This window comes from Homo sapiens, chromosome 3 (assembly GCF_000001405.40).
Source record: "Homo sapiens chromosome 3, GRCh38.p14 Primary Assembly".
Classification (NCBI taxonomy): Eukaryota; Metazoa; Chordata; class Mammalia; order Primates; family Hominidae; genus Homo; species Homo sapiens.
This window is the reverse complement of record NC_000003.12, coordinates 69,179,501-69,205,906: the sequence shown is the minus strand read 5'-3', so window position 1 is coordinate 69,205,906 and position 26,406 is coordinate 69,179,501. Positions and strand designations below refer to the sequence as shown.

At 40.8% G+C, this 26,406-nt stretch overlaps 1 protein-coding gene across 18 annotated transcripts in view; it reads left to right on the top strand.

The window, feature by feature from the left end:
• FRMD4B (FERM domain containing 4B) overlaps positions 1-26,406 on the top strand; it is a 373,805-nt gene that overhangs the window by 336,680 nt on the left and 10,719 nt on the right. For 15 of the 18 annotated variants that reach the window (XM_017005993.2, XM_047447767.1, XM_047447771.1 and 12 more), the window contains 10 exons: positions 7,133-7,209; positions 8,869-9,007; positions 9,511-9,652; positions 10,543-10,676; positions 10,766-10,885; positions 12,034-12,259; positions 15,955-16,011; positions 17,990-18,137; positions 23,190-23,309; positions 24,197-25,008. In XM_017005993.2, the coding sequence (XP_016861482.1) occupies positions 7,133-7,209; positions 8,869-9,007; positions 9,511-9,652; positions 10,543-10,676; positions 10,766-10,885; positions 12,034-12,259; positions 15,955-16,011; positions 17,990-18,137; positions 23,190-23,309; positions 24,197-25,008 (1,975 nt within the window). Of the gene's footprint in view, positions 1-2,369; positions 5,096-5,397; positions 5,537-7,132; positions 7,210-8,868; positions 9,008-9,510; positions 9,653-10,542; positions 10,677-10,765; positions 10,886-12,033; positions 12,260-15,954; positions 16,012-17,989; positions 18,138-23,189; positions 23,310-24,196; positions 25,009-26,406 lie in introns of those variants that run through there. The other 3 variants (XM_017005996.2, XM_047447773.1, XM_017005997.2) reach the window with 3 other exon arrangements.

Below are 26,406 nucleotides of genomic sequence, written 5' to 3'. Positions count from 1 at the left end.
GCAATGTGAACAGGCATAGTTGAAAGAAATAGAACTCCAGAATTAATTGTTTCAGAGTAAAAATTGTTAAATCCTTCATCAGCACATTTCACCTACCAAAGCCTAGTTATATCACCAAATATTATCCTGTAAGTCAGGGTTTCCCAATCTCAGCACCATAGACATTTAGGGCCATATAGTTCTCTGTTGTGGGGGCATCATATTCTGTGCACTGTAAGATGTTGGCAGCATCCCTGGTCTCTACTCTCTAGATGCTAGTAGCATCCTCCCCTCCAGTGTGTTAACCAAAAATGTCTCCAAGCATCACCACATGTCCTGAGGTTGATGGTTGGGAGGAGTGGGAGGGGTGCAAAAATCACCACAGGTTGAGAATCACTAAGAAAAATTAAAGGGACTCAGGCTGGGCATGGTGGCTCATGCCTATAATCCCAGCACTTTAGGAAGCCAAGGCGGAAGGATTCCTTGAGCCCAGGAGTTCAAGACCAGCCTGGGCAACACAGGAAGACCCCATCTCTACAAGAAATTAAAAAATTAGCCTCCAGTGAAATACCCCCAATGAAATAAACAGAAATATAGTCAGGTGTGGTAGCATGTACCTGTTGTCCCAGCTACTCAGAAGGTCGAGATCAGAGGATCGCGAGCCCGAGAAGTCGAGGCTGCTGCAGTGAGCCGTGATCATGCCACTGTACTCCAGCTTAGGTGACAGACCAAGACCCTATCTCATACAAAAAAAAAAGGGGGGGGACTCAGTCCTATCCCGCAAATGGCTGCTGTAATTGCTTTCTTTTTTATTTGAGGAAGAAATAAGAATTACTCTTTTTTTCTCTTTTTCTTTTTTTTTTTTTTTGTTAAAAACATAACAGATACCCATACAGCACTCTTCCCAGATAAGAAAGGCAGGATGACATGCTGTGGTTATACATTGAGGATCTTGGAGCCTGGCAGTATTTAAGTATCAATATCTGCCCCTATTTCGCTGTGTGACCTTGGTCAATTTACTTTAACCTCTCTGAGCCTCAGTTTTCTCTTCTGCATAGTGAGACTAAAATAGTACTGCCCCATGTGGTTGTTGGGAAGACGCCATAAGATAATAGATGCAACATCTTAGTGCTCCAGCTGAGCGCTTAGTTTATGCCAGCTGGCACTGTTGGTGTTAACTGCGTATTTGTTGTATGACTGTCACTTCGACAGCCTGTACCCTCCTTGAGGGCAGAGACTTTGTCTCAGTCACATAAACATTTGATGGAAAGAAGGTAGATCAATTGGGCTTTATAGAAGCCTATAATTCTGTGAAATTCCAGAAGGTACTAACAGTATATGTATCATGTGTAATCTTTCAAAATGAAAAAAGAATAAATCAATAATATAGTGATTTTGTTTGGCTTCACGTAATAATAGCAGAGGGATCCCCCACCGTGTGAGTCACTGATGTATAGTCATACACTGCAGCTGTGACTGTCTCAAATTTAGTCATTTCCAGGCGAATTTGCAGTTAAATGATTAACCTATAGGTACTATGAGTTGCCATTAAAAAGCCAAGCCTCTCCTGATGTCTTTCCTGTCCTGGCCTATTGTGAAGCCTTTAGGTGGCATCTACCTTCAATTCATCAAGATTTAAAAAGACAGTTTGACCCTTTTTGTCCAAGGCTTTCCCTGGGTCTTTCATGCCCCTGGGAAGGTCCTCCTAGCACGTGGCAGGTGCATACTTCTCAGCATTTTTGTACATGCTGGGACACATTCCTCCTTTCCTGGGTACCTGGGGCAGGAGGGAGTTTGCTTTGTCTACCTGTGGGGCATGCCGTGACCAGCCCCTCCCTCCCCATTTATGTCCTCCATGATACAGAAACGGTGAGCAAATTTCCTACCTAGAGGGTGTATCAGGAAACCCCCAATGAAATAAACAGAAATAGAGCAGCCAGTTTTTATAAAGCCTGAAACTCACAGAATTGGAAGTCTGAGTGACACAGATATGTTAACAGAATAACCCAATTGTTTCTCAACAATGGAAAGATGTGGGATCCAGAGAGCAGTTTTTGCTTTTGTTTCTGCTATTAAGTGACTGCCCTCCATGTGATAAAATTGGAGAGGTGAACTGAGAGTTCTTCATTACAAATACAGCTGACTTTATTGCTTACTGAATTTTGATACTGAGCCAGGCGTTGGGCTGAGTGCTTCACAAACATAGTTTCCCTGATCCCTTCCGACAACTCTCTGAGGTGGGTGTTGGTGGTCCCATTTTACAGATGCAGACACTGAGATTCAGGAAAGTTAAGCAGCTTGCCAAATACAACACAGCTAGAAGTGGCAGTACCAGAATGCTAACCAAGGCAATCTGACTTGGTTCACTTGGCTCTTGTGAGCCCCACAATGGAAGGGCTCTGTCCATTACTTGCTGACAAGAACAAGACCTCAAACATACACGGCACTCAAGAAATATCTGTTGATGGAAAAGAAATGGATAAATGACTCTCAAAGCTACTGAAATACATATCTGAAATATAAGGACCATGTCTCCTAAAGGTTCCTCTGCTTTTCCTTATAGTATTTTTCTTTCTTTCTTTCTTTTTTTTTTTTTTTTTTTTTTTTGCTGAAGTTTGACAGTACCCTCAGATATTTAGGAACCATTATAATAGTGGGGTGGGACAGGGAACAGGTGATTTCTTGTAGTTCTTTAAGTCTATAAAAGTGAGTGGAATCTAACTAAATATTGATTATAGATTTCAATAAAGTGGCTTAAATATTCAACACATTCATTTCATTAAATAAACTGTAATCGTCTACAGCAAATTATTCTAAAACCATCAACACTTTTTTTTTTTTTTACTTCATCTTAGGGTTAAGGGAATTTCTTGTGATGACAATATTTTATACAGTTCACTTTCAAAATACAGCTTGATTCCACCATGATTTTCTGTGTCAGTTTTAAATTTTTGTCACTTTGTTTTTTTAAGATAAGGTTTGTAACCTTAAGATATTCTCCTCCTGTTGTAATTTCTTGATTATCTCTTTGTTAATGTTATTTATGCTGCTCCTCTTTTAATATTTTATCTTTCTATTTACTTTTGCAATTGCAAAGTAGTCCCAGATATTATTCTTCAGTCACTCTCTACATCCTTCTTTTGATATCAAAAGGCACAACTAGTGATTCAAGATGAGTGTAGAGCAGAAAGAAATCTGGAAGACCTAATTTACAGTTTTATTTTCACCTTACAACTATTTCCCTTTCATCACTAGCAGCATAGATTTTGTCTAAAAACAACATAGTGTTCAAACTCGTAGCTTCTAGTAGGTGCCACATAGACAATTATAAATACTCATTAATGATTATTATTATGCTTATATAATGATCACTTTAGAACACATTCTAGTTCCATACTCTTAATTGTATTGCAAGACAAATAAAGCTCCTCTTTTTTTTTTTTTTTTTAAGTCTCTAATAGTGAAAATTTTGGCTTGGGCAAAATACATTTTTCTGTTTTAATATGAAAATTACAAGTGTATGTGTACATACACATGCATATATTTTATATATACACACACACACATATATGTCATAGTCCTACCCTATGTGGACACCAATATTGTCCAAATAATAGAAAATGGGAAGCATACTTAGCTTTCTTGTATCTTCCTTTAAACTTTGATTTCTTTCCTCAAATACAGACCATTGGTCTGAAATCCCTTCATGACTTTTCTTTTTTTTGAGACGGATTTTCGCTCTTGTCGCCAAGGTTGGAGTGCAGTGGTGCGATCTCGGCTCACTGCAACCTCCGCCTACCTGGTTCAAGTGATGCTCCTGCCTCAGTCTCCCAAATAGCTGGGAGCATAGACTCTCGCACCATACCCGGCTAAGTTTTGTATTTTTAGTAGACACGGGGTTTCACCATGTTGTTCAGGCTGGTCCCGAACTCCTGACCTCAGGTGATCCACCCGCCTCGGCCTCTCAAAGTGCTGGGATTGCAGGCATGAGCCACTGCGCCCGGCCAACCCACCACGCCCAGCCCCTCTCTTGATTTTGACCAGAGGGTGCCTTTTATTTATCTTCTAAGATAAACACTGGAGAAAGGGAGGAGAATGAACACCGTTCAACTGCCTGCCCTGTGCCAGGTGCTGTCTGAGGCAAGGTGCATGAGCTATCTTTCAGCAAATGAATTCACCTCAGCTCCATTGCCGTTTGTAGAGCTGCATCCTGGCCCTCGGATATGAAGAGTCCAGAAATAAAAAACACAGTAGGAGAATGATTTCAGCAATTTCAAAAGAAAAACCAGCTTATATCCAGCTGCCAGCTAGATAAAGTACCACTACAATTAGAAATATTTTCCTAGCAACTTCAAACATTGAAAATAATTAAAATGTAATAATACTTAATGTTTAAAACAGGGAACTCCCAACTGATTAGATGGTGAAAATCTCACTCTTGTACAAAACAGACCAACCTATATTCATTTTATATATATAAACTTTTATTACTTTAATTTTGAGAAATTCCAAGAGTCCTAAAGATATGACAATACCTGTAAAACCACTTAAATAGCTGTTACTAATATTTTGTCATTTTTCATCCTATTTTTATTAATAAAAGAAAACATTACTAATGATATTCAAGTTTCTATACAACGTACCCCCCATACCATCTGCCCCCAGAAGTAATCACTGAATTTTGTATCATTCCAATCCACATTTATATTATTATATGCACATATATGAAATCATACTTTGCACAAACTTTTAAGATTTCAGGCAGGGGAATGAACTGCTCTCTGCCTTTCATGCTTTAAACCCAGTCTTGTTCCCATAACCTTGTGCAAACCCAGTTACAATCCAGTTATTTCAAATTCTCTAAGCTGAAGTCCTTCGCCTTTTAAGTAGAGTTTTTGCTTGCAGGGAGCGTATTTGCTCTCAATGCAGGGACAGGCTGAATGGAGTCCAAAGCGCTAGGGTTTCACATTTGTAAGTGATAAGAGGGGGAGGTGGTGACTTTCAGAGATCATGTTTCAAGTCCAGCCCTGGTTTTTATGTGTGTGGGAATGGACGCAAAGGAAAACACAGCTGAGCTGCATTGTAACTCTTCCTGTAGAACCTGTTCATGTCCAGGGTGAGTAAACTAGGGTAGAAATGTCTTCCTAAAACAGCCTCCGGTGAAATTCGTCCTTGGATTCAAAGCAACTTACTTCCTAGGAAGTATCAGGCAAATCCCAACTGCCCTCCATTTTAGAAAGGTCTCTTTTCTGGGAAAATCTGCCACTGAGAACTTTGCCCTCCTCTCCCTGATGGGAGGAAGGAGTAGAATTAGGGAGGTGTCACTCAGGAGAGTTGCTGATGTCAGTAGTGTGTCAGCCGTGGGAGGCTCAGTTTGTGAAATTGAGTTACACCTAAGTGTCTTATGAAACTCAGTTCAGAACTCACCGGAGCTGCCGTCTGGGAGGGGGGAGGGCGGAAGAACCCTGAGGTTTTTCCTCACATTTCTGTCCCATTTTTGGAACCTCTGGATTTAAAGAAATGAAAACCTCAAGTTTGTGGAGATTTTAAGAAATGGGTATGTAACTTTATACTTTTATTAATTCTTCTGTGAACCTGAGTGAGTGTTATAGTTACAGACAGCTATGTGTGCGGACCCCGGAGGGCTGTGTTTTTAGGGTGTGCTGGTTTATTTCACTGTTCGGAATTGGGGGGTCCAGTCTGAACCCTTTTTTCCCATGCCTGCATACGTATAGAAACCTTCAGCTCATTTTGTTCCTTTACATGATGAGGTTTACATGTCTGTGAAAAGCCTGGGTTCCCGTATGTCAGGAAATGGTTTTGCTGATAGTGCATTGCAGAGAAGTGCTTATTGTATAGACTATTAAAAATAATCTTTTAAGATTCTTTGAACATAATTTTAAAATCCAGCCGAAGTCTAATAATATAATGAAACTCTCTGCTGTTATTTCCCTAATCAAGTCTGGGGGCAGAGAAGAGGAATTTGACCATGAAGTCCAAGTTGACAGGACAAACCAAGGCTCAGGATAGTACAATGTCTTATAAAGAGCTTAGGAAGCAGCCCAGAAAACATAGCAAGGCATCCTCAATTCTGTGAATGAGCTGCTTTCTATCAAATTATTTGGTTTTCAAATGCACATTGCTAGTAAAGTTTGTTCCTCCCAATCAAACTGACGGCACTGAGTGCCGCAATAGAGTATCAGTAGTGTGTATATCAGAGTGTACAGACACTGGGAGCTAGCTATGTTCAAAAACTGGAGGTTCTAGCTCAGAAACCAAGAAGAGGCTCTGGTGTTCCCTCCTACCCCTTCTCTGCCCCCAATTACTGGTGCTAGGTTTCTGTGGCATTTAGGGGAACTCTTCATAGGTAGGAAAGTGGTATCTCAGAGAATCACCCCTGCATGGGGGTTCCGTTTTACTTTCACTTTGTATTCTTTTGAAATTCAATCTCTGATGTTATTGAAATATCCCTTTGAATATCTTTCCATTTAACTATGAAATCAACATCTTTGAGAAGGCTGGTGCTTACTGGAATCTGTGCAGATTTCCTTATTATATAGTTGAGTCAGAGGAAAAATAGTGTACATGTTCTTCCACAGATGGTTGGTTTTATTGTTCAAGGAAGATTTATTGGTGATGTGAATCTTGTTTTTTTTGAGACGGAGTCTCGCTCTGTCGCCCAGGCTGGAGTGCAGTGGCGCGATCTGGGCTCACTGCAACCTCCGCCTCCCGGGTGCACGCCATTCTCCTGCCTCAGCCTCCCGAGTAGCTGGGACTACAGGCACCCACCAGCACGCCCGGCTAATTTTTTTTGTATTTTTAGTAGAGACAAGGTTTCACCGTGTTAGCGAGGATGGTCTCGATCTCCTGACCTCGTGATCCACCTGCCTCGGCCTCCCAAAGTGCTGTGATTACAGGCGTGAGCCACCGCGCCCGGCCGAGGTGAATCTTAATAGTTAAAGATTGCTGCCAGAAGAAGGAATAAAATGGTTTCAGGTCATAGTTGATTTGTAAAAAGGCTGAATCACATATTCATGTTTCATCGTATCAGTGTACCTTCTTGGAGCTTATAATTGTTTGATTATTAAGCTGATTTATAGAATTAGTAAAAATAAGCATAAATAATACTTCCTGGCTTTTCTGTTTTCTTTAGTTATTCCAATGGAAACAGCTGGAGAACTTATATTTCCGTGAGAAAAAATTTGCTGTTGAAGTTCATGATCCACGAAGGTGAGGATCAAAGACGTTTCTCTGTATGACACAGTTACTATACAAATAACGCTGCTATCAACATTTGTGTACAAGTTTTTATATGAACATATGTTTTCATTTCTCTTGGGTGTATACCTAGGAATGGAATTGCTGGGTCAAATGGTAACTATCTTTAACCCTCTGAGGAATGGCAAGGCTGCTTTTCAAAGTGCTGCACCATTTTACATCCCAAGCAGCAGTATATGTGGTTCCAATGCCGACACATCCTCACCGACACTTGTTATTTTTAGTTTTGTGTGCATGTATAGTTTATGCCATCCTAGTGGGTTGAAGTGGTACCTTCTTGTGGTTTTGATTTGCACTTCCCTCATGACTAATGATGGCTGAGCATCTTTTCATGTGCTGCTTAGCTATTCCTATATCTTTAGTAGAGAAATGTCTATTCAGATCTTTTGCTCATTTAAAATGTTGGTGTTCTTGGTCATTTAAAAAAAAAAAAAAAAGCCAAATTACCAACATGAACTGAAGTCAGGATGTGGGTTCTCAAATATCTTAGGAGAAATCCCGCCCCCCTCCGCCCGCCCCCAACTGCCAGACAGAGTCTTACTCTGTCACCCAGACTGCAGTGCAGTGGCGCAATCTTTGCTCACTGCAACCTACACCTCCCAGGTTCAGGTGATGCTCATGCCTCAACCTCCCAAGTAGCTGGGAGTACAGGCATGCACCACCACGCCAAGCTAATTTTGTATTTTTAGTAGAGACGGGCTTTCACCATGTTGGCCAGGCTGGTCTCAAACTCCTGACCTCAGGTGATCCGCCCGTCTCCGCCTCCCAAAGTGCTGAGCCATGGCACCCGGCCTTAAGAGAAATTCTTAATCAGTCCTTAGTGGGTACTTTTCAGTCCCGAGATGGTTATGGATGTTTAGAGGCCAGAGGGATGGGAGGAAATACCTGTGATAAAAAGGTGACCTGAAGAGATAAGCCAAATTCCTACAAAGAACATTAGTACCACGTCACACACACACAGTCTGTCTGCCTCTTGCCTGTTCTCTCTTTCTTTCTCTCTGTCTCTCTCTCTTTCACTTCCCCTCCCTCCCTTCTCCCCGCTCCCCCTCTCCCCTCTCCCTCCTCCTCTCTCCTCCCCCGTCCCCTTTCCTCTTTCCATCTGGTGTACAAGCAGCACTCTGGACAGTTTTGGACTTGCATATTTTCAGCCATTATCGTTAAGTGCATTCTCTGATAATGTCAGAGCCGGCCAAATCTACCTAGATCTGAAATGCTCTTTTACCTTGAATTAGGTGCTCACCCCACACTTGGTTGCTGTTTCTTTAAAATCTTATCCCATTTATTCCTTACCACTTGTGATGGCTACACATCCTTAGAGTTTCTAACTAAATGTTTTTGTATAATCTCTAATTTGACTGATTCTTTATCAGCTTTTGAGTTCATGTGTATGTGTTTTTAAACATGCTGTTTATCCAGAAAGAGATTACTTAGGTCTGAATTGTTTTGTTGTAAAAGGAGAAAATCAGAAACTTGGTCCCCATTTGCGTAAGAGTTTTTGCAACAGAAGACAGGTAAGAGGAACATGCTTTGTTACAATGCTGCTCGCAGGGTACATTTTGCATCATGCTGGGCCAGAGGGGAATTATTTGAGTGCTTTCTTTAATCTTTCAGGATTTCAGTTTCAAGAAGAACCTTTGGGCAAAGTGGCTTGTTTGTGCAAACATGGTATGCTAACTCTTCTCTCATCAAGTCCATTTGGGTAATGGCAATTAGTCAGCATCAGTTTTACTTGGACCGGAAGCAAAGCAAAGTAAGTAACTGGCATCATTTCTATAGGGACAGATTCCCCTTTTGCATTCTGTTCAGAAGATAAGCCTTCTCACAAAAGATGCAAGCACATATATTTTTGCTCTCTGAGATTTTTTTGCGTTTAACTTCCAACTATTTCAGGTTTTTTATATGTTTACATGATGGGCAATATATAAGCTGCTTTAAAAGTTGTAAGACTGGCCAACTTTTTGGCATGCACGTTTGTATATACTGGTGACACTGCTGGCGGTGATGTTGCCGGTGACACTTCAAAGTTAGTAACTGAACCACACCATGAGAAAATCACGTATAGTTATTAAAACATTTTAACTACTTGTGGGGTTTTTGTTTTGTTTTGTTTTTTGGTCTGAAGAATGCCACTTGAATATGTGAAAATTCTAAATTATCCTCTGTGTTGCTATTTTTATTGTATGTTAACTTAATTGTTTCATTAATTTGAAGTATGTTTGAGTTAATTCTGTTTCATTGTTGTATGCCTCTTAGGCAAAAATTCCTTCAGCCAGGAGTTTAGATGAGATTGCAATGGATTTGACAGAGACAGGAACACAAAGGGCCTCCAAGCTGGTGACACTGGAGACGAAAAGTCAGTTCATCATGGCAAGTAATGGCAGTTTAATCTCCTCAGGTAACATCTTGGGATTAGAGAACGTGCAAGCCATCTTTATTTCGTTTGTTTTTTCGGTCATAAACCACTTCGAAATTCATCTTTTAATCCATTATTTTGGGAATAAATAAGTATGTCAATAAGTATGTATGCGACAGCTTTGAATAAAATTTTAAGGCTAATTTTTTAAAGAATATGTAGAAAGTCAAATTATAAATAGGTTGTGCATGTCATATGAGATGCAAGGATGGTGAGTACCAAGGTGTGGCTTGAAAGAACATTTTCCACAGCAGCTGCTTTTTCCAGCATTCAGTTTTTGATACAGATAATTGTCTAATTCTCCATGCAATATAAAATGCTATACAAACATGATTACAAGCATACCCCTCAAATGTGGTAGCTTCCCCTAAGCCCTTCCTCTGTAAAAATTCTGGAATCCCTTATCATTAAGTATATGTAACTTTACTAAAATGATTCGTCCCATCTAAATCTCACTGTCAACTTGTGACTCTGAAGCATGACCTTCCTTCACACTGATTTTTCTTTTCCTTGCTTGCTTGCTTACTTTTTAAAAGAACACTTGAAACAACTCTTCAAGGACCATCTTACCTTCTCTTCTGCTCAGAAAAATGAAATTTTTCTTTGGGTGTGTCTGGGACGTTAAGCATTTTATCATTACCCCCAAAATGACTGAGCCAGGATGCAAAAAGGCACATTTTATTACCAGGTTCTGTTTGATGCCCAGAAGAATGAGAAAATGTTTTCCAGTTTCCTTTTATTATGTTGAGAAACAAGGAGAAAAGAAATAAACTACCATTTAATAGCAGCTTTAGCTTAAAAATCCTTTGTCCCTTAGAAAGGAAGGAAACATCCCTTGTATAAACCTTCCCTGCCCTTCCCTCATCCCCTAGGTTCTCAAGACTCAGAAGTTAGTGAAGAGCAAAAGAGAGAAAAAATCCTTGAACTAAAGAAGAAGGAGAAACTATTACAAGAAAAACTTCTGAAAAAAGTTGAGGAGCTTAAGAAGATCTGTCTGCGGGAGGCTGTGAGTCTGCTTTTTGGGGCTCATCAAGTTGTGTTTGACAACTTTGGCCAGTGTCAATTATCTGCTCTTGATTCTGTCCTGTTTTACAGGAGCTCACAGGCAAAATGCCAAAGGAGTATCCCCTGAACATAGGCGAGAAGCCTCCTCAGGTCAGAAGACGTGTGGGTACTGCGTTCAAATTAGATGACAACTTGCTGCCGAGTGAAGAAGTATGAACAACGCCTCTGAGCCTTTCAATTAATCATAAGACAGGAAAGCTGTCTGAGTGTAGTGGACATTTTCCTTTGGTTTTTGAGTCTCTGCTGTATGTTATCTCACCAGTACAGATGGATCGTGTAGACCAAATTGAACTCTTTCTTTCATGCCCACTCCAGTCAAAATTGAGTTACTTCTCACTAATTTACTCCCCAAATCATAGGCATTCAGTGAACTCCAAATGTTTCTCATTTGAGAGTCAGCATTATAAGAATTAAGAACTCCAGCATTAGGTTTGTTTACTTAAAACTAAATAATAGCCTTTGTCAAATAGTTTAGCCTCTCTAAAGTCTCATTTCTCAGGCCTCAGTTTTCCTCATCTGTAAAATGGGGGTAATGATTGGACTTCCCTCCACGGGATCCAATGAGTATTAAATGAGATAATACATGCACAGCACTGAGCTACAATCAAGTTAAAATATTTGTTAGCCAATATAGAATGTATAATACTTTCTCATTTGCATGTCATCAGCCAATATAACCATATCTATGTTTCTTGTAGAAATTTGACCATCTTAGCTTTAGAAAATTGTATCTGTTTTCATCTTTGGAAATCTTTACTATTTACTGAGTGCTCACTGTGTACCCATCTCTGAGCTAAGCAATGCACATATACTATCTCATTTAATCCTCATCCTACTTCATAAGGTAGGTGTTATCTTCATTTTACAAATGAAAAAAACTGAAGCATTGAAAGATGAAGCTGTGTATCCAGGGTCATGCAACCAGGAATTACCAGGAAGAAGATCAAACCCAAATTTATCTGTCTCTAAAGCTATGCATATAAATATAATCTTCTGCATCCATGAGCTTTGAGTTGAGAATATATCTGTGAAAACTGTGATCTTCTCCCAACCAACTGAATGAATGAAAGGCCATTCCCTTCCTTGAAAAGGGAAGAGGTTTGGACTAATGAGAAGTTGAAGTTAAGACGAGTAAAGGAAAGTGTTTGACAAGGATGTCTATGCAGTAAAAGTTGGGAAGATAGTGTTCTCAAAGAACGTCTGATTCAAGAAAGTGCACAGGAAGTTTTATTACACAATGCATGTAAGAGTTGATTGTATGTGTCCATAAAAATAAAACTATCATTGTATAAATGCAGGATCCTGCTTTGCAAGAACTGGAGAGTAATTTTCTAATACAACAAAAGCTGGTGGAAGCTGCAAAGAAACTTGCCAATGAGCCAGACCTTTGTAAAACTGTGAAGAAAAAGCGAAAGCAAGATTACACAGATGCGATGAAAAAGCTTCAGGAGATTGAAAATGCAATAAACGAATACCGAATTAGGTGTGGAAAGAAACCCAGCCAGAAAGCAACAGTGTTACCAGGTTAGTAATAAGTAAGGTTTTTTTTTTTGAGTCCCCTACTCAGTACTTCATGGTATATAGCATTTCCAAACCAGTTACCAGTTGATGAGAGATCAAAGGAAGAACCAGGTGATCAAAACTAAGTTTTCTTTTTTATTTGGAGACAGAGTTTCACTCTTGTTGCCCAGGCTGGAGTGCAATGGGGCAATCTCGGCTCACTGCAAACTCCACCTCATGGGTTCAAGTGATTGTCCTGCCTCAGCCTCCCAAGTAGCTGGGGTTACAGGCATGCGCCACCACACCTAGCTAATTTTGTATTTTTGGTAGAGATAGGGTTTCACCATCTCGGTCAGGCTGGTCTCAAACTCCTGATCTCAGGTGATCCACCCTCCTCAGCCTTGCAAAGTGCTGGCATTACAGGCATGAGCCACTGCGCCTGACAAACTAAGTTTCTTAGGATAAAAATTGTTTGGAATTTCAGTTTTATAAGTATGTACACTTGATTTAAAATTTCTGTGATTTGTGAAGGCTATTTAAAGATATGGGCAGCACGAGCATGGCGCCCCACACCTATAATCCCAGCACTTTGGGAGGCTGAGGTGAGCGGATCACTTGAGCTAAGGAGTTTGAGACCACCCTGGGAAGCGTGGTGAAACCCCGTCTCTTCAAAAAATATTTTAAAAATTAGCCAGGCATGGTGGTACATACCTGTAGTCCCAGCCACAGGGGAGGCTGAAATGGGAGGATCATTTGAGCCCAGGTAATCGAGGCTGCAGTGAACTATGATTGCACCACTGCACTCCAGCGTGGGTGACAGGGCAAGACCCTGCCTCAAAAAAAAAAAAGTGAACAAAATTAAAAAATAAAGATATGGGCAAATGGTCATGATATAACATGAAATGCAGAAAAGCCAGATATAAAATTGTTACCACAACATGATCCCAATTTTATAGAAATATGCACACACAAAGACTGGCTGAGAAATATTTCAAAATACTAACAGTTGTGAAATTTCAAGTAACTTAATTTTCTTCTTAATATTCTGTAGTTTCCAAGTTCTCAACATTATGTATTTATGACTTTCATTTTCAGAAAAAACATAAACTTAGAAATCCCAGGTGGATTTAAAGTCCAATTGACCTTACATGTTTATTGGTATGGTTTTCAGCCTGGTGACTGAAATATGATTGTATTTCTTTGATTCTAAGACATTTTTTCCTTTACATTTTAACATCTATGAAATTGGGATAGTTTTGGGTTTTTTTGTTTGTCTTTTTTTGTTTTTGTCTTTTTGAGACAGGATCTCTTTCTGTGGCCCAAGCTGGAGTGCAGTGGTACCATCAAAGCTCACTGCAGCCTCGACTTCCTGGGCTCAGGTGATCCTCCTACCTCAGCCTCCCTAGCAGCTGGGACTATAGGCACGCACCACCATGCCTGGCTAATGTTTTGTAGACATGGGGTTTCACCATGTTGCCCAGGCTGGTCTCAAACTCCTGAGCTCAAGCAATCCTCCCACCTCAGCCTCCCAAACTGCCAGGATTGAGGTGTGAGCCACCACGCCCAGCCTTGGGTTAGTTCTTAACACACTAGATGGTGCTTTACAGTCATACTTGGCAGTACTTTTTTTATTATTTTTTGCTGGTACTTAAAATATATATCTTAGATTTGATGAAATAAGGTAAGTGAGTTTAGAATATAATTGGGTGTAGAGCATATGATTTACAAAGCAGACATGGCTTTTGGAAAGGGAATGTACAGCATCAACACACAAGTGTTAGTCCACTACAGCTGGAGAATGTAGAGTAGCTTTGGTTGAATGTGAAATCCAGGCAGTCTTGGGGGTGGTTAATTTCTGGACCTACAGATATGGGTGATTAGTGTTGTGCTTAACTTCATGGCCATTTGTTATGGCCCATCCATCCTCAAACTGTGCAAAATTCAAATGTTCTCCTTTACAGTGAAAGTATGCCTAACAGCTGACTATACTGGCACCTTGCCTTCAAGCTCCACTGTGTGTCTGATAGAGATAGTTCACTTGTTTCTGATACAGATTAACATTAGAGATTGGTTGGAGAGCTTCCCTTCATAATGGTCTTGAAGTTTACATTGAGGATTATATTTGCCTAGAACCTCATGCCAAAACACTCAGGTGAATATGGAATGATTTGCAAATGCAGATCAACACATCTGAGATACTTTTCTTTACTGAATACGTTTGTTTTTTTGTTTGTTTTTTGTTTTTTTTCTTTTGAGACAGAGCTGTCTCTGCCACCCAGCCTGGAGTGCAGTGGCATGATCTCGGCTCACTGCAACCTCCGCCTCCCAGGTTCAAGCAATTCTCCTGCCTCAGCCTCCCAAATAGCTGGGATTACAGGCATACACCACCATGCTTGGCTAATTTTTGTATTTTTCATAGAGACAGGATTTCACTGTGTTGGCCAGGCTGGTCTTAAACTCCTGACCCTCAAGTGATACACCAACCTCGGCCTCTCGAAGTGCTGAGATTACAGGGGTGAGGCAGTGTGCCTGGCCACATTATTTAACATTTGATGGATACCAGCAATAGAGTGTTATGGCCATTGCCAACCAGAACACAGTGTCTAGTTAACTAAAGATTTAAGTCTAGCTAACATTTACTGAGCATTTGTCATGTAATGCTGGGAGCTGGGCTAGGGGCTTTACATCCGTTATTCTAACGCCTCACCCCAGCACTACGTGATAGGTACTGTTGTTATCCCCATTGTGGGATTGAGCCAGGTGATACTTAGAGATTAAGTAATTTGCCCAAGGTCTCATAGTCGATAAATGGCAAAACCAAGACTTAAACCTAATTCAGTGGTTCTCAACCAGGGAGGCTGGAAATCCTATAATGCACAGGACATCTCCCCAGGACAAAGGATTATCCAGTTCAAAATGTCAGTAGTGCCACTGTTGAGAAACCTGTTGAAAAGCTTGGCCAGTCATAGTGATTCACACCTTTAATCCCAGTACTTTGGGAGGCCTAGGTAGGCAGGTCACTTGAGCCCAGGAGTTCAAGACCAGCCTGGCCAAATGGTGATACCTGATCTTTACTAAAAATCCAAAAAGTTAGCCAGGCGTGGTGCTGCATACCTGTAATCTCAGCTACTCAGGAGGCTGAGGCGGGAGGATTGCTTAAGCCCAGGAGGTTGAGGCTGCAGTGAGCCACGATCACACCATTGCACTCCAGCCTGGGCAACAGAATGAGACTCTGTCCCATAAACAAACAAGAAAAAAAAAAAAAGGCCTTTTCTTTCAGGGAGGGGTCAAAAGCCAAGTTATATTAAGAGTAGATTTTCAAATGAGGATTCAAATGTGTTTTATTTAACATTTAGCATTTATGATAAGAATGGCATGATTTTTTCTTTCCAGTTTGTTGATCATAAGCACTAAATATATAGGTAAAGTTTTATTCCAGTGTAGAAGAAACACCGAAAACTAGTTTAAAACCAGCACTCCCTTGAAGTCTGTTCCATTTTAAGAAATAATCTAATGTGATATTCGTACAATATGTAAAATGTTTTGATTTTTGTTAGTATATGAGTCCATTCTTACTATGGTAGTTAATTATTCTTAATGCACTGTAATTAATTACATTTATTTAAATGAAAATGCATTCCATTGAAAATTGTTTATCTAAGACCCCTCTAATTGTATAAATGCACAATTGTACTAAAGGCAGTTATTTTTATTCACAGAAGACATAATCCCCTCAGAGAGTAGCTCTTTGTCTGACACCACCACCTATGATGATCGTAAGTGGCTCTTCCTTTTTTGGTTTAAAAATGTTAGATATTCTGAAATAATTAAGATAATTTTCTTAGTTAAGTAAGGCCTATTTGTTTTTCTTTTGAGAAAAAGTAGAATAAACTAACTTACATTTATGCAAAATGGTTGGGAAAGGAAGTGTATGATTAACACCTACTCAGGTTAACTCAGCGTTAATAACAGGACCACAAAAATCACATGACCTCAGCGAATCAGAATGCCCTCACGGGAGTATCTAAGTCTCTCAGTAAGGACTTTAAGGCTCTCTAAAGTGTTTCTTAACTTTTTATTTTGAAGTAATCATAGATTTACGGAGAGTTGTATAATTAATACAAAGATTCCTTCACCCAGCTTTTCCCAATGGTGACATCTTATATATCTGGAGTCCAATATCAAAACCAGGATATTAGATTGTACACGTTATCACTGTATTCATCACAATATGAAATAAAATCATTGTATGTTTTACAATGTGAAATAAACTTTCATATTCTAGATAAAGGAAAGTTTATTTTATTTAGGAAGAAAGGCACAGTTAGACATTGGGCTACCTGTCATTTTGTTGTTTCATAGAGGCAGGCTGTATCGATTGTAATGGCCTGTATTTGTTCAATACATTTCTTGTCTCTCTCTCTCTTTTTTTTTTTTTTTTTTTTTTTTGAGATGGAGTTTCGCTCTTGTTGCCCAGGCTAGAGTGCACTGGTGCGATCTCAGCTCACTGCAACCTCTGCCTCCCAGGTTCAAGCAATTCTCCTGCCTCAGCCTCCCGAGTAGCTGGGATTACAGGCATTGGGCACCACTCCTGGCTAATTTTTGTATTTTTAGTAGAGACAGGGTTTCACCATGTTGGTCAGGCTAGTCTCGAACTCCTGACCTAAGGTGATCTGCCTGCCTCGGCCTCCCAAAGTGCCAGGATTACAGGCGTGAGCCACCGAGCCCAGCCGTTCAATACATTCCATTATAGAATGGGTTTACTATCAACTAATAGAGTGTTTCTTTGTCATCTCTTGTACTTAATCATGATTGAGTTGGCGATCTCTGTGGTATGACTTGAAGAATTCCAGGAAACCACACCCCCACTGCTTTATCTTCCCCAAGTTTTTTTTTTTTTTTTTTTTTGAGACGGAGTCTCGCTCTGTCGCCCAGGTCGGACTGCGGACTGCAGTGGCGCAATCTCGGCTCACTGCAAGCTCCGCTTCCCGGGTTCACGCCATTCTCCTGCCTCAGCCTCCCGAGTAGCTGGGACTACAGGCGCCCGCCACCGCGCCCGGCTAATTTTTTGTATTTTTAGTAGAGACGGGGTTTCACCTTGTTAGCCAGGATGGTCTCGATCTCCTGACCTCATGATCCACCCGCCTCGGCCTCCCAAAGTGCTGGGATTACAGGCTCTTCCCCAAGTTTTATGGTGCATAAAATTTCACCACTGCAGAATTCTTCATGTGAGGTGATGTTTGGTCATGCTTGCCATCCCTCTTTGAAAATGTAAATATCAGTGGAAAACATAACAAGCCTCTAAAGATGCAGCATAAGTCAGTTTCCTTACTTTCAATGACAGGATAAGCCTTTGGCCAAAGAGGCCTAAAAACTTTAAAAGTAAAGGTGAACAAAAATGATCCAGGCCAACTTCCCCTTGGTTCACACTGGGGGTTTTCTTTAATATAGCTTTTTAAAAGCTGCAGTATTACCCATTCCCCTTGAGTGATTTACTCACTCTAAGTGACACCTGTTGAATTTGGCAAAAGATGGTTCAGGTCCCAGAAGAGTGTTCAGTATTTTCGTTTTTTCTGGTGTATAAAATATAAAAATTAACTTCTTGAAAGAGTTATGTTCTTCTAAAAATATCATCTTTGGAAGAACACTTTGTTCACTAAACCTTCTAATTTCTTTTTTGAGGTATTGGCAAGATATTTATTTACCTATTAATTTGCCTACTTATTTTTTCATTCACCCATTTACTTATTATAGCCAGTGATGCCTTCACTTTTCCTGGGCAGCGATCAAGTTCAGTACCTCATTCTCCAAGAATTCTTCCCCCCAAGTCTCTTGGTATTGAGCGAATCCATTTCAGAAAGTCGTCCATCAATGAACAGTTTGTGGATACCAGGCAGTCCAGGTGAGAGGTCATATCATCAGTAAGGTTAATGCCCCACAGCTAGGAAATTTTTCCTCCAAAATGCAATGTATGGTTGATACATTTTCACATGTTTTTATTTATCCTTCCAAAAGATGTTATCTTGTAAAACTGGGGCATAGAAACTAACCCAGTTTGTTGTTCACAGCAAATGAATATACATATATATACATATATATATATGTATATATATATATATTTTTTTTTTTTTGAGGTGGAGTTTCACTCTTGTTGCCCAGGCTGGAGTGCAACGGCGTGAACTCCAGCTCACCGCAACGTCCGCCTCCTGGGTTCAAGCAATTCTCCTGCCTCAGCCTCCCGAGCAGCTGGGATTACAAGCCACCACACCCAGCTAATTTTGTATTTTTAGGAGAGACGGGGTTTCTCCATGTTGGTCCGGGTGGTCTCGAACTCCCAACCTCAGGTGATCTGCCTGCCTCGGCCTCCCAAAGTGCTGGGATTACAAGTTTGAGCCACCGTGCCTGGCTGAAAATGTTTTTAAGAAGTCTTTTAAAATGCATTTGACCATTTCCTTGACTTTAAAGTCTATTTGATCTATATTAACTTATAGGGACATTAATTATCATCTGGATTTAGACATAGTGTCCACAGTTCAGTTTTATAGTCACTGGTCTAAGGAAATTGTCGTTAAAGTCCACTCTGCAAAACCAAGTAGCAGGACTGATTTCCAGTCCTGCAAATAAACATGGGACTTAAACTCATAATCTGTAAAATAGATAATCCAAGCATTTTCTCAAATATCTCAGGTAAATATTATCAGGGCAATGAGACCAGGTTTTAGAAACATGACAGGCCAGTGGTTCCCAGAACTTGGCTGTATGGATCAATCTTTAAAAAGCAAACAAACAGTTACCAGCTGTTTGCTTTGCCTAAAAAGAAATTTTCAAACACAGGCTGAGTGCGGCAGCTCACACCTATAATCCCAGCACTTTGGGAGGCCAAGGTGGGAGGATCACTTGAGCTCAAGAGTTGGAGACCAGTCTGGGCAACCTAATGAAGCCCCATCTCTACAAATTTTATAGACAGAGTCTCTTTCTGTCGCTCAGGCTGGAGTGCAGTGGTGCAATCTCAGCTCACTGCAACCCCTGCCTCTTGGCTTCAGGCAATTCTCCCACCTCAGCCTCCTGAGTAGCTGGAATTACAGGCACGCGCCATCATGCCTGGCTAATTTTTGTATTTTTAATAGAGACAGGGTCTCACCATGTTGGCCAGGCTGGTCTTGAACTCCTGACCTCAGGTGATCCACCCGCCTCAGTCTCCCAAAGTGCTGGGATTACAGGCATGAGCCAGTGTGCCCGGCCCAAAATTTCTTTTTTAATTAGCCAGACATGGTGTTGCCTACCTGTAGTCCTAGCTACTTGGGAGACTGAGGCAGGAGGATTGCTTGAGCCCAGGATTTCACAATTGAAGTGAACTATGATCATGTCACTCCACCCCAGCCTGGGCAACAGAGCAAGATGCTGTCTCAAAAAAAAAAAAAAAAAGGAAAAAGAAAAAAAAAAGAAATGTTCAAAAAAATAGCACCATGAATCCATGAAAGAAATGACATTTTGATATAAAAAATATATTCACTATCGTTGTGGCAATATTAATCGAATGAAGTTAACATTTCACTTAATGTAATGTTAATTTCATTTTATATTAATTTCATATAACATTTCTATTGAGCACTTACTTTTTTTTTTTTTTGAGACAGAGTCTTGCTCTGTCACCCAGGCTGGAGTGCAGCAGCACCATCTTGGCTCACTGCAACCTTCACCTTTCAGGTTCAAGCAATTCTCCCCCCTCAGCCTTCCAAGTAGCTGGGACTACAGATGCCCGCCACCACACCCGGCAAGTTTTTGTATCTTTAGTAGAGATAGAGTTTCACCATGTTGGTCAGGCTGGTCTTGAACTCCTGACCTCAGGTGATCCGCCCACTTCGGCCTCCCAAAGTGCTAGGATTACAGGCATGAGTCACTACAACTGGCCGCTATTGAGTACTTACTGTGTCCCAGATACTGTTTATGTTTTTTCTATGTAATTTATTAATGAACTTAATCTTCACGACAACCCTGATAGTGTTACTACTGTCATTACCCTTTACAGATAAGCACACTGAGGGCCAGGGACCATGAATAACTTCTTTGGGTTCATCAACTAGTAAACATGGGAATCAAGGTTTGAACCTAGGTAGCCTAGAACTTGGCAGGATCCAAAGCTTGTGATCTGATTTCAGTGAACATGTTATACCACATCTCAGCAAAGATGGGAAGTATTTGCTCTACAAGGGCCAAAAATATAAATTAAAAAAATTTAAATAAAGGAAATTATTCTCAAAATCAAGGTAGATTATTAGATTATTCAAGGTGGATAAATTGTGACTTATGAAAATATAACCTCCACATTGCTATGTTTCTTCTTTTTTTCTTTTCTTTTTTTTTTTTTTTTGAGACGGAGTCTCACTCTGCCACCCAGGCTGGAGTGCAGTGGTGCCATCTCAGCTTACTGCAAGCTCCGCCTCCCAGGTTCACGCCATTCTCCTGCCTCAACCTCCTGAGTAGCTGGGACTACAGGTGCCTGCCACCACACCTGGCTAATTTTTTTGTGTTTTTAGTAGAGACGGTGTTTCATATTAGCCAGGATGGTCTTGATCTCCTGACCTCGTGATCCACCCACCTCGGCCTCCCAAAGTGCTGTGATTACAGGCATGAGCCACCGCGCCAGGTCACATTGTTATATTTCTAATTTGTTAAAGAGCAGTGAAATCTTTATCACATATCGGCCCCAGTTTGTGGATTAGCATTTAGGAACTTTTGCCTGAAATGGTAAGAGATCCAAGGAGCTACAGCCATGCTAGCCAATTTAATTAAAAGTAAATAAAATTTAAAATTTGGTTCCTCAGTCATGCTAGCCACAATTCAAATGCTCAGCAGCCACATGTGGCTAGTGGCTATCATATTGGTCAGAACAGACCCGGAACATTTTTGTCATTGCAGAAAGTCCTATTGGATAACATGAGACAAGTGTGCTTCTTATGTTAGGGAAAACAAAGCTATTTCAGCAAAAGGAAGAATTATAGCTGGGAATCATTGTCTTAAAAATTATTATACCCACATCTCCAATCACTTAAGATGGATTTGCTTTTTTATCCAGCAATTTCACTTAGGAATTTTACTACTGAATTAACTAACTACATGTAGGATGCTCATTACAGCATTGCTTACACTACTGGCAAATTGAAAACAAACCACATGTTCAACTAGCTGATTATTTAAATAAATTATGGTAAATCCATACAATAAAATGCTATGCAGTCATTAAAATAACACTGTAGGCAAATAGTAAGCAACATAAAATGTTAGGTACAACTTAACTTTTTAAAAAGTGAGCGTTGAAAAAGAATATATAGTAAATCTCATGTTTTGTTAAAAAATAAATATGTATGTTTATGTATAAATACATGCTAATAAGTTTATGTGCTTAGGAAAAATAATCTGAAAACATTTAATGTTGCCTGACTATGTAAAAGGTATCAGATTATACAGGCAGCGGCTCACGCCTGTAATCCCAGCACTTTGGGAGGCTGAGGCAGGCAGATTACTTGACGTCAGGAGTTCGAAAACAGCCTGGCCAACATGGTGAAACCCCATCTCTACTAAAAATAAAAAAAATAAAAAAAATAAACATTAGCCAGGCATGGTGGTGTACACCTGTAATTCCAGCTACTTGGGAGGCTGAGGTGGGAGGATCACTCGAACCCAGGAGCTGGAGGTTGCAGTGAGCTGAGATTGTGCCACTCTCCTCAAGCCTGGATGACAGAGCGAGACTCCATCTAAAAAAAAGATTATAGACATTTAAATTTTTCTTTTTATCTGTATTTTTAAAGTTTTCCTAATGAACTTAGACTTGCTTTTGTAGTAAGTAAAATTTGATCAAAATTATTTTTAGTTAAAAAAAATTAACTTCAGGCTGGGCGCGGTGGCTCACGCCTGTAATCCCAGCACTTTGGGAGGCCGAGGTGGGCGGATCACAAGGTCAGGAGATCGAGACCATCCTGGCTAACAAGGTGAAACCCTGTCTTTACTAAAACTACAAAAAATTAGCCAGGCGTGGTGGTGGGCGCCTGTGGTCCCAGCTACTCCGGAGGCTGAGGCAGGAGAATGGCGTGAACCCAGGAGGCGGGGCTTGCAGTGAGCCAAAATCACACCACTGCACTCCAGCCTGGGCGACAGAGCAAGACTCAGTCTCAAAAAAAAAAAAAAAAAAAAAAAAAATTAACTTCTAATTGTGTTGTCACCATGCTGGGAAGTAGACATAGTGACTTAAAGCTGTTGTTCTTAGTCCAGGGACCAGCAAACAACAGTCCAGTGGCCAAATCCATCCTGCTGCCTGTTTTTGCGCAGACCGTGAGCTAAGAATGGTTTTTATATTTTTAGGTAGCTGGTGGTGGGGGGATCAAAAGCAATAATATTTTACAACCTGTAAAAATGATATGAAATTTAGCATCCATAGGTCATTTTCTTGGAACACAGCCACACCCATTCTCTTACATATTATCCATGGCTGCTTTTGCACTGAAAGGGCAGAGCTGAGTAGTCGCTCTAGAGACCATCTGGCCCACAAAGCCAAAAGCTATTTAGTATTCTAGACTGTTTACAAAAAAGGAGTTTGCTGAATTATACATCCATCCCTGTTCACCACAAAGATTTGATCATCTAAGGACTGTTTTGAATGTTCAGGTGCCTACATAAACAGCTCTAGTTGCTTTGAGTCTTTTTATTCAGTGTACTCTTTATTAAAAGTCCTTTTTTTCCCTACATATTTGTGACTCAGAAAGTCAGACCATATGTGCTCCCGCTGTTTTAGCGGGTTTTCTTTGTGGTTTAGTGAACCACAAAGACACTCTTCCTATCTTTCTCCCTATTTTCCCTTTCCTTGGGCTTCTAGTAAGTTTTGTATCTGCTTATGACAAGTTTGCCAGAGATGTTGAGAGACTCATCATTTCCTGAATTCTTCTTTTTATCATCACAGAGAAATGCTGTCCACACACAGCAGCCCTTACAAAACTCTGGAGAGGCGGCCCCAGGGAGGACGAAGCATGCCCACCACGCCAGTTCTTACCCGAAACGCCTACAGCAGCAGCCACTTGGAGTAAGAGAGCTTCTTTCTCATTGCTTTAGCTGTCTTGATTTTTGCTTTGAGGTTCTGTCTTGCTTTATTGTGTTTTTTAATCATTTCAAGTGACTTTCTGTAGCAGGACCTTGTTTTATGGTTTTACATTTTCTGCTAACTTATGGTTTCAAATATGTTGGCAAAGAAAATGTATTTGATTTGTTCAAATATACATTAGATTTTTAGTACCTTAATTTCCCCAGTCACATATTACCATTCATTATTCAATGGTGAGGATGAAGTTAGTAACAATAGCAACATTTTGAAATGTTTGTGAGTGCTGTGCTAAATGTTTTATATTCACTGGATTATTTAGTCCCTACAGCAAGCCTTTTGTGAGGTAGATATTATATATTGTTTTCATCCTCATCTTACAAAGGAGGAAGCAAGATTCAGAGAGGTTAAATATCTGGCCTGAGCTCATACAGCTGGGAAATAGCAGTGCCATGACTCAGCCCAGCCACCTCTGACCTCCACTCGAATGTACCATATCTTCATATCCTCTAGGAAGACAGGACCCTCCAAAGACACGTTGGGTTTTTTGTTTTTGTTTTTGTTTTTTTTTCCAGGCTGTGATGCAAACTGTGCATCCTCAGTCTGTGTCTTTCCCTACCCTCAAGGAAGGATTTGGCTTGCGCAACTAACAGAAGCCAGCTCTTTTCTCATTTTGACCATGGTCAAAATGAACCTACATGTGAGCCAACAGATTTGGAGAACAATGGATTCTATTGTGCAGTCAGCTTTGGCAACTCAAAGTCCTATTGTAATTCACGAGCTATTCAGTCATTCAGCATGCTATTCTTTTTTCTTATTTGGGTCCTCCTTTTCTTCTTGGTGTTGAGAAGTTTGCCTTTCTCCTCTTTCAGACCCGAATCTTCATCTCAGCACTGCCGCCAGCGGAGTGGAAGCCTGGAGTCCCAGTCCCACCTGCTCTCCGAGATGGACAGCGATAAGCCATTTTTCTCCCTCTCCAAATCCCAAAGAAGCAGCAGCACAGAAATCCTCGATGACGGGTCTTCTTATACAAGCCAATCAAGCACAGAGTATTACTGTGTGACACCAGTTACCGGCCCCTATTACACCACCCAGACCCTGGACACTCGCACCAGGGGTCGGAGGAGGTCAAAGAAACAGAATGTTTCTACTTCAAATTCAGGAAGCATGCCCAACCTAGCACAAAAGGATAGTTTGAGGAATGGTGTTTACTCAAAGAGTCAGGAGCCACCGTCTTCCAGTTACTACATTGCCGGGTACACACCCTATGCAGAGTGTGACTTTTATTACAGTGGTGGTTATGTCTATGAGAATGACACCGAGGGACAGTATAGTGTCAACCCTTCCTACCGGTCCTCAGCCCACTATGGATATGAGCGCCAGAGGGACTACAGCAGATCCTTTCACGAAGATGAGGTCGACCGGGTACCCCATAACCCATATGCAACTCTCCGGCTGCCAAGGAAGGCTGCTGCAAAATCGGAGCACATCACCAAAAACATCCACAAGGCCTTAGTTGCCGAGCACTTGCGTGGCTGGTACCAGCGGGCCTCTGGGCAGAAGGATCAGGGACACAGCCCGCAGACCAGCTTTGACTCAGACAGGGGATCACAGAGATGCCTGGGGTTTGCGGGGCTGCAAGTACCTTGTTCTCCAAGCAGTCGTGCATCCTCGTACTCTTCAGGTGAGAATACTGTAAAAACACGCAACACCTGGATTTTATTTACATCGTGTTTCCTGCCCACCTAAAACCGCCTCACGGATCATGAGACCAGTACTCAGGGTCAAAAGTGGGGCAACCATTCGGTGGAACCCCACAATAAGAATTTCCAACTTAAAAACAGTTCTTTCCAGCTCTCCAAAGAACTCAGTACACATGAGTCTAATGAAGCAAATTGTAGATTCAAATCCAGCAAACATTGATTGAGCATTTACTCTCTGTGCTGCCCTGTTTTAGGGTTTTTTTTTGTTTTTTGTTTTTTGTTTTTGAGAAGGAGTCTCACTCTGTCGCCTAGGCTGGGATGTGTTAGGGGTTTCACTTGCTTTGTCTTTTTAGGATTTACGTTGACAGGCACATCTCTTAAATGTGTTCACGTCATTGAGGCTTGATATTTTAAAAGAATAAACCCTCAGGTAAGCAGAAAACATTAGAATTATACATCCCTCCTGGTTCACCACCAAGATTGATCATCTAAGGACTGCTTTGAATGCAAGCCTGGGATTATGCAGGTACTTAGGCAAGTGCCTGCATAAGGCTCGTAAGAATCCTTATAGGAGCTGGCATTGATTAAGCACTGTTCTAAGTAATTTGCTTTTTTTTTTTTTTTTTTTTTTTTGTAGAAACAAGGAGGCTTAGGTTGGGTCTTGCTATGTTGCCCAGGCTGGTCTCAAACTCCTGGCCTCAAGCAACCCTCCTGCCTTGGCCTCCCAAAGTGTTGGGATTACATGTGAGAGCCGCAGTGCCTGGCCATGCATATTGTAATTCAGTATTCATATATACCTATGTTGTGGTTGACTTAAGGGATTTTCAAAGATAATTTTGATTAGAGATGTTTCCTTTATACTCTTGATGTTGACTTTGGCCCCTAACTCTGCTAACATTTGTGGAGGACTTCCTGCCTACTCCCAGTTGTACTAGGTACTTTAAGTAGAGAAATAGAAGATAGGGGAGGCTCTGTGTATGGTTTTATTTATTCAGCAAATGAGCAGCCACATTCAAGATGTGGAGGACCCATTGTTGAACTAGTTCCTGGCCACGATGAGCTCAGAGTCAGCAGCCAGAGGAATGTTTAAAAATTAAGCAATTTTAAAACGCTAAGAAATGAATGAATTCTCAAACTGCCAGAAAACCTGTAGGTCATGAGTCTCACCTTCTCCCTTATTAACATGACACCTTAGTGAGACATAGTATAAGGATTCCTGAGTCATTGTATAATAGTCAAGTGAAAACTACACCTTTAAAAGTTTCATGTACTTGTTGATGAGGCGTTTCCATGGAGATTTCTATTTGGGTTCAAGTTCTCTCCTATTTGTGCAGGACTTTGGACTTCCACTAGGGCTGTCCCATCTATTACCACATCTA